This window comes from Homo sapiens, chromosome 1 (genome assembly GCF_000001405.40).
Source record: "Homo sapiens chromosome 1, GRCh38.p14 Primary Assembly".
Lineage (NCBI taxonomy): Eukaryota > Metazoa > Chordata > Mammalia > Primates > Hominidae > Homo > Homo sapiens.
The window spans coordinates 225,745,593-225,754,503 of record NC_000001.11 but is presented as its reverse complement, the minus strand read 5'-3'; the positions used below and the strand labels follow the sequence as shown (position 1 = coordinate 225,754,503).

General features: G+C 49.1%; 1 annotated feature.

Annotated features, from left to right (window-relative positions):
* Positions 3,516–4,015: an enhancer, noted in NCBI's record as "H3K4me1 hESC enhancer chr1:225938191-225938690 (GRCh37/hg19 assembly coordinates)". NCBI's record gives its function as "activates a minimal SCP1, AML or CMV promoter by ChIP-STARR-seq in primed H9 embryonic stem cells {active_cell/tissue: H9 hESC(primed)}" and the evidence as "EXISTENCE:reporter gene assay evidence [ECO:0000049][PMID:30033119]".

Here is an 8,911-nt window from a genome sequence, read left to right as displayed (position 1 = left end):
TCTCAGCTACTAAGGAGGCTAAAGCAGGAGAATCACTTGAACCTGGGAGGTGGAGGTGGCAGTGAGCCAAAATCATGCCACTGTACTCCAGCCTGGGTGACAGAGCTAGACTCCGTCTCAAAATAAATAAATAAATAAATATTTTAAAAAGCATATTTAATAACTATGTAATTTGTCGTTAGTGAGCACTTGCTATATGTTCTGCACCAAGCTGGGGTGGTATGAGTGACATGGAACTATATAAACAAGCAGAAGACAGACGGGAGTTGGGTGCTAAATTGACGATACCAAAGTTCTTTTGAAAATCTAAGGAAAAGAGATCCACTATGGGCTGGACTTTTGGGGAAAATGTTGGAGAAAGTGAGGCTTGAGCACCCTTTTTTTTTTTTTGCCATCTAAGCAGACTATTTAGACTCTCTGGGACTACAATTCTAGAAAGATGCTAATTTGTATTGCTTATGAGAAAAAGGGCATGGAGGAGGGGCTATTTCATGGTTAAATCTGGAATCTGCTGCATACATTCATAGTCTTGTGCAGATTCACAATGCACTTTGGCTCTTGGAGGCTCTGCAACATTGTGTGATAAAGAAATCTGCTTTTCTTGGCCGGGTGCGGTGGCTCACACCTGTAATCCCAGCACTTTGGAAGGCCAAGGTGGGCAGATCATGAGGTCAGGAGATCGAGACCATCCTGGCTAACACGGTGAAACCCCGCCTCTACTAAAAATACAAAAAAGCAGCAGGGCGTGGTGGCAGGCGCCTGTAGTTCCAGCTACTTGGGAGGCTGAGGCAGGAGACTGGCGTGAACAGGGAGGCGGAGCCTGCAATGAGCCGAGATCGCGCCATTTCACTCCAGCCTGGGTGACAGAGTGAGACTCGCCTCAAAAAAAAAAAAAAAAAAAGGAAAGAAAAGAAATCTGTCTTTTTTTTTTTTTTTTTTTTACTCTGGCTGGAGTACAGTGGAGTGTAGTGGCACAAACATGGCTCACTGCAAGCCTCAAATTGCTGGGCTCAAGTGATCGTCTCATCTCAGCCTCCCAAGTAGCTGGGACCACCTGTGTGTACCGCCATACCTGGCTAGTTTTTTACATTTTTGTAGAGAGAGTCTTACTGTGTTGCCCAGGCTGATCTCCTGGATTCAACTCCTGGGCTCCAGCCACTATCCTGCTTTGGCCTCCCAAAGTGCTGGAAATACAGGCATGAACCACCTCACCTGGCCAGAACATTTTTTTCATAGAACTCGTATCAACATTTTATAGATGAGTGCAGTGTCTCATGTCTGTAATCCCAGCACTTCAGAAGGCTGAGGCAGGAGGATCACTTGAGCCCAGAAGGTCAAGGCCAGCCTGGGCAACATGGTGAAACCCCGTCTCTACAAAAAATACAAAAATTAGCTGGGTGTGGTGGCGAGTGCCTATATTGCCAGCTACTCAAGAAGCTGCGGTTGGAGGATCACTTGAACCCAGAAGATGGAGGTTGCAGTGAGCCAAGATTGTGCCACTGCACTTCAACCTGAGCAACAGAACGAGACCCTGTCTCAAAAAACAAAAATAAAAACAAACAAACAAAAAAAACTGCTGGGTGCAGTGGCTCTCGCCTGTAATCCCAGCACTTTGGGAGGCCAAGGTGGGCGGATCACAGGGTCAGGAGTTCGAGACCAGCCTGGCCAATATGGTGAAACCCCGTCTCTACTAAAAATACAAAAAAATTAGCTGGGTATGGTGGCAGGTGCCTGTAATCCCAGCTATTTCGGGAGGCTGAGGCAAGAGAATCGCTTGAACCCAGGAGGCAGAGGTTGCAGTGAGCTGAGATCGTGCCATTGCACTCTAGCCTGGGCGACAAGAGTGAAACTCTGTCTCAAAAAAAAAAAAAAAAATCATTTTATAGACTTTTATGTTTGGGAAGCACTGGTAGAGGAAAACACCTTACTGGAAAGTAGTTTACAACCCTCAGGCAACTTAAAATCAAGCTCCCTGAACATTCTATGTAACTTTCACTTTTACAGAGTCAACATTCATCACCTATCAGTCTTTTGACATTTGGTTATTTTCCCCATGTGTACCATGTTACTACCCTAGCCAGACTATGAATATCTCACATGCAAATACTTGGCAGCCGCATCTTTTTATCTCTCATGGCTCCTAGCTCACACCTTGTCTAAAAGAAGGTTGATAAATATTTGTTGGTTTAAAAACAGAGACAGAACAGGGGGAAGAAAATGGGGAGGGGAAAAACTCACACTTGAAGTGATAGCAATTATTGGTAGTTTGCAACTGATTACTTCATTGTAAATTGCTGTTCACCAATCAGTACCCTTTGAAAGACTAGTAAGTTGTTTAAAATGCAAAATAATGTTAATTTTTGGCTTGGCTTTAGTTGGAGCTGGATCTGCAGTCAGAAATAGCTGGCTTTGGGGCATGACCTCTAAATTATATCTTCCTTTATTAGCTCAGGGTGCTTTCTGCTGAGCTGGAAGTGCCTGGGGTAGGTCCCTCTGTCAGAGGATTGATGCTTAGACTGAGAATCCGATGAAGACCAAGTACCCCTGGGTCAGCATGACTGCAAAGGCCAACTGAATGGCTGCTTGTGACACCACTGCTTTGGGAAAAACTCACTCAGGGTGGTGGGAGCTTGCAGTTAAAAATACAAGAGACACATTTGGTTTGGTATCAGGGGCTGGTCTCAGATGCAGGCCCCTGTCCAAATATGCCTCCATCCCCTGCTCATCGGACCTAGTGCCCAGGGTTGGAGAGGGCACCATTTGAGAGATTTGTGGCTTTGAGGCTCTAAAAGCCTGACATTCTTAAAGGTTCTTCCCATGCTGACACCCTGACCCATTCCCAGTTTTGAAGCTAACCCAGGCTGGGAGAAGTAATTCATAAATCATTTGAAGCTGACACCTCAGAGGTGTTTTGATGGGAGTGGGACTTTGTCTCTTTTTTCAGGAGGAGGTGAGACAGGAGAGGAGGTAGAGTTCCTGCAAGAGATAAAGATGTCTCTGAACATTCGTAGAGACTTAGGAAAATTCTGGCTCCTGTGGGGAAGAAATTGATCTTGTTTGTTCTTTTCTTTCTTCTTGGTTGAGTTCCCAGTGTGGATCTTGCAGGCGTTTTGTTCTTGGTGTCAGAACCACCCAGGCTTGGTCGTCGCTGGGTCTGGAACCTCCTACAGATTCCACTGTCTCCCTGCCACAGAAGAAAGTCATGATTGCCCCTTGTGCAGACAGCAGGACCTGGGTGTGGGGCTCAGGGAGATTCCTGCAGAGCCCTGCTGGGTGTCTGCTTCCCACCTCCCTTCTTCGGGGTCCCAGTTAATGCCGCTATTCAGAAAAGACTGGAAGGAGGGGTTGGTGAGACTCAAAGCCTTGAAATTGGATCTGTGGTTGTTTTTCTCTAAAACCAAATGTATACCCACCCACTACCCGGCCAGCTGGTGCCCTTTCAGTCAGGGCCTAGTGACCCTGTAAGGAGTTGCTGCCAGTGGTGGAGCTGGCTGGGACATCCAGGCTCCATCCTGTTCGCCTGGCAAGTGTTCGAGAGCCAGTCTCATGTTTAGGCTCCACACGAGCCCTCCATGGGCATGTGGAGCCTGGTCCTCAATTTCCCATTTAACTCCCTCCTGATTGTACAGGCTTTGCACACAGTGGGCCTTCCATAAATGCTGCTGACAGACTGGGGAGGACTTGGGGGCTGGGAGGCTTCCTTTCATTTCCAGTGTTGAGGGGAGAGTATCAGAATCCTCATCTCTATCCTTGATTTCTCCAATGTCTGCCAAGGAGCCAGGGTGAGCACAGCTGTCAGTCTGTTTCTAGCCACGTTGCCAACTATCACACCCATCGGGGCAAAGAAGAACTTCCCTCAGCAGGATGTTTGTGGACAGCAGGTGACTGTCCTGCTCTGGGGCTGGCTTCAGCACCTCTGATCTAGCCACAGGCTCTCTTTCTTGTGGCTTCCCCTGTCATCTGCCCCTCCTGACCATCTGGCCACCCTGACTTCTGCCTGGTGGGAACGCTATCTGGTGGGTGGCAGCCTCTCCCTGCATGGAAGCTCCAGGCCAAGGGGCAGGGGGAGCAGCGGGCTGAATTGTCAGGGTTCAAACAGTTGAGCTAATACCAGTTTGCTCAGGGGTTTCTGGCTGCCTACCCGGGAGCCCAGGGCAAGGGGACCAAGCAATGTGCAATCTGCTCTTAACAGCCCCCATGCTTCCAGAGGCTTTCCTGGTTGAGAAAACACATTTGAATGTAACCTCATCTTGGAGTTCCAGCAGCTTCAACCTTGATGGTGTCTTCCTCGGGATTCCTTCATTCCTGATCCATGTAGAGGCTAACATTTACTGTGATCTTCCCATGTGCCTGACACCGTACCAAGAGCTTTCTGTGCACTATCTCATTTAATCTTCATAGTAACTCTATAAGGGAGCTTCAATTATCATTCTAGTTTCACTGACAAGCTAACTGAGGGCTGGAGAGGTTAAGTAACTTGTCCAGGATTGTATAGCCAGTCTGTGGCAGAGCTAGGAGTCTAACAGAGGCATTATAGTACTGTCTCATGTGCATGAAGACTGCTTTGTCCTGGATTAAAGTGTTTACATTTTACCAAATCTGGATCTTGTATCTATTCATCTAGCAGATGGGTCAGCCAACTATGCCCACAGGCCAAATCTAGCCATGGTATGGTCTGTTTTTTTTTTTTTTTTTCCGAGACAGAGTCTTGCTCTGTCACCAGGCTGGAGTGCAGTTGACACAATCTCAGCTCACTGCAACCTCCGTCTCCTGGGTTCAAGCGATTCTCCTGCCTCAACCTCCCGAGTAGCTGGGACTACAGGCATGCGACCCCATGCCCAGCTAATTTTTATATTTTTAGTAGAGACAGAGTTTCACCATGTCGACCAGGATGGTCTCGATCTCTTGACCTAGTGATCCGCCCACCTCAGCCTCCCAAAGTGCTGAGATTACAGGTGTGAGCCACTGCATCCAGCCTGGCTTTTTTTGGTTTTTGTTTGTTTTAGAATCAGGGTCTCACTTTGTTGACCAGGCTAGAGTACAGTGGTGTGATCATTGCTCACTGCAGCTTAAAATTCCTGTGCTCAAACAATCCTCCCATCTCAGCCTCCCAAGTAGGTGGGACTACAGGCACCAACCACCATGCCCAGCTATACCATAGTTAAAAAAACAAAAAACAAAAAACAAACAAAAAAACACCAGGCGCGGTGGCCCACACTTGTAATCTCAGCACTTTGGGAGGCCGAGGTGGGCGGATCACGAGGTCAGGAGATCGAGACCATACTGGCTAACACGGTGAAATGCCGTCTCTACTAAAAATACAAAAAATTAGCAGGGCGTGGTGGCGGGCACCTGTAGTCCCAGCTACTCGGGAGGCTGAGGCAGGAGAATGGCGTGAACCCAGGAGGTGGAGCTTGCAGTGAGCTGAGATGGCACCACTGTACTCCAGCCTGGGCGACAGAGCGAGACTCCATCTCAAAAACAAACAACCAAAAACAAAGAAGAAAATGTGACAAAGACAGTATTTGGCCTATAAAGCCTAAAATACTGACTATTTACTATCTGGGCCCTTACAAAAACAGTTTGCTGACTGCTAAGTTAGCATGCCACAGTATCCTGTCTCACCAATACGATCCAGAGAAAGCCCCAGCACCGTGTCTGCCAGCCTCCAATTCTCTTTGGACTCGGCCGCTTCCAAGAGTGCTCTGAACAATTAAAACCTCAATGAATACATTCAGTGCATGAAGACGGATGTGCCAGGGGGATTTTCAAATCTTCGGCTGCATCTTTGAGTGTGTGTAAACCTCGGGCCAGTTGCCTGGCAGGCCAGCCTGCGGCATGGGTCTTGACTTTCCCGATTGTGAAATGAGGATGAGAAATCTTGGCCTTGGAATGGAGGGAAATGAAAGAGGGGCATCTGACCGACTCTCAGAAAGACACAGGCAGGGAGCTCTGGAGGCTTCTTAGAAGGAAGAACCAGCCCGGCGCGGTGGCTCATGCCTGTAATCCCAGCACTATGGGAGGCTGAGGCAGGCGGATCACCTGAGGTCAGGAGTTTGAGACCAGCCTGACCAACATGGAGAAACCCTGTCTCTACTGAAAATATAAAATTAGCTGGGCGTGGTGGCAGGCGCCTGTAATCCCAGATACTCGGGAGTCTGAGCCAGGGGAATCGCTTGAACCCGGGAAGCAGAGGTTGCGGTGAGCCGCGACTGCACCACTGCGCTCCAGCCTGGGCAACAAAAGCGAAACTCTGTCTCAAAAAAAAAAGAAGGAAGAACAAATATGAATCACAAGCAACATTATTACCTTAGCAAGTGTTTGAGCCCCCAGTCTAAATGTGTAAAGTAATCTGCTCAGGCTTAAGAAAATCTCTTTTCCCCTATCACACTGGATGTATGAACACATGACCAGCAGAGGCCATCTAACTGAATGGGTTTTCATGCCTCCCCTCTCTGCTCAGGTGGTGAGTTCCCTGAGGCCCGGTCTGGATCTTATGTTTTACTTGTGTCTTCTCTGAGCTCTTGGTACCACACTGAGCAGCACACGGTGAGCAGCTCCGCATAGTGATCTGCCCGACTTACATGTTACAAAAAGGCCCCGAATGGAAACAGGCCTCCAGGAAGAGTGTCTAGAAAAGTAAGGGTCAGGCAGGGTGCCGGTGGCTCACGCCTATAATCCCAGCACTTTGGGAGGCTGAGGTGGATGAATCACTTGAGCCCAGGAGTGCGAGACCAGCCTGGGCAACATAGCAAGAACTTGTCTCTACAGAAAAAAGAAAAGAAATACTAGCTGGGTGTGGCAGCTCATGACTGTAATCACAGTGCTTTGGGAGGCTGAGGCAAGAGGATAGCTTGAGCCTGGGAGATTGAGGCTGTGGTGAGCCATGTTCATGCTACTGCACTCCAGCCTGGGCAACATAAGAGACACTGTCTCAAAAAAATAAATAAAAAATAAAAGGCTAGGCATGGTGGCTCACACCTATAATCCCAGCACTTTCAGAGGCTGAGGCAGGCGGATCACTTGAGCCCAAGAGTTTGAGACCAGCCTGGGCAATATGGCAAGACCCTGTCTCTACAAAAAGTACAAAAATTAGCTGGACATGGTGGTGTGTGTGTGTAGTCCCAGCTACTTGGGAGGCTGAGGTGGGAGGATCACTTGAACCCAGGAGGCTGAGGCTGCAGTGAGCTATGATTGCACCACTATGCTCCAGCTTAGGTGACAGCCAGACCCTGTCTCAAAAAAAAAAAAAAAAAAAAAGAAGAAAAGTAAGAGTCTTCTCTCTGCCCTCCCCGAGAACAATCTTGAGGCCCAGAGAGCAGGTGCGAGCTAGCTGGGGGGTCCTGGCACCTCAGGTGAGGCTGCTGGAGGCCCAGGCCCGAAGGCCCAGGCGCTCCCTCCCCTTCAGAAGCCCAGCTCTTCAGGCCCTCCCTGTATCCTCCACACCCAACCCTCTTCAGTCCTCCAGGAAACATCATGAGGGTTAATTATTTCTCAGGGCTGACTCAGACAGCAGTTTTCTGCCAAAGCATTCTGTCAGCCAAGCACGGTCCTGCTGTTACCCCTGTGAGGGAGCCTTTGTAAGCTGTGTCGGGAGGAAACTCCTCAGCAGGGAAGCCCAAAGCCCCGTAGCCTGGGGTGGGGTCCTGCCTGATCCCGTCAGGTGGGGCTGGTTGCTGGGAGGGCGCCCTCCCCAGTGTGAGAAGCCAGCTCCAGAACGCTCTCACCGCCAGGCTGCCTTTCAGCCAGTCCCTGTGGGGCAACGCTTGCCTTTCGTTTTGTTGATTGGAGATTGTGTCTCTGAATAGAGCTTAATGTCCTTTTGAAATTATCTGTTCTTTTTTATTCTTTTTTTTTTTTTTTTTTGAGATAGAGTCTTGCTCTGTTACCCAGGCTGGAGTGCAGTGGCTTCATCCCAGGGCTCACTGCAACCTCCGCCTCCTAGGTTCAAGCGATTCTCCTGCCTCAGCTTCTGGAGTAGCTGGGATTACAGGCGCCTGCCACCATGCCTGGCTAATTTTTGTATTTTAGTAGAGACGGGTTTCGCCATGTTGGCCAGGCTGGTCTCAAACTCCTGACCTCAAGCAATCCACCCACTTTGGCATCCCAAAGTGCCGAGATTACAGGTGTGAGCCACTGCACCTGGCCTTTTTTTTCTTTCTTTTAAAAATTTCTCCTGCTTTCTCCATTTGGTTTAGATTGCTGCTGTGTTCCTAAATGCTGAAGGTGAATGATGGGGCGTCCGGAGGAGAGGGATGACACTCAAACAAAAACCGTCTGCCTAGGAGGCCAAACTGGGGGAGAGTGGGGGGGGACAGAGGGGGTCTCTTGGAGGAAGGAGGCCTGGGAGATCTTCTCTCTCATATCAGAGAACCTGAGGGACTGGGATGGCCCTGAATGGAGATTCAAAGACGCTGAACTGTGCTTGAGACACCTGGGACCAGAAGCCAGGAGGGAGGAGGTAGAGAGAAGTAGAACAAGGTAGCCCCGTGAATTCACTGCATGGCAGCCATTAGCTTCACCTGCCCTCTGACCAGGCCGACACCAGCACCCTGGGCACCCCATGTGAGTAGGAAGGTGTGTGGTGCTGTGCAAACCCGATTATTCCCCAAGTAACCCATGCTGCATCTACAGCTTCCTGCTGCTGCGCCAGAAGCTGTGCCCTCTTATGGAAAGAAGAGCACTTCCTTCATATAAAAGCAGCCAGGTGAAGGCAAGGCTATTCTTGCACGAGAAATGATGATTATACAGATCAATTCCATCTTCTGGAGGAACCCCAGACAGTGGTAAATTACACAGTTACAGTTGTACCTTAAGCCCCATCTCCCCACCCCCCACAAAACAACAGAAAACCCAACAACCATGTTTTGCAGCAAAAATATTTACAGGACAGTTACTATGCACAAGCAAG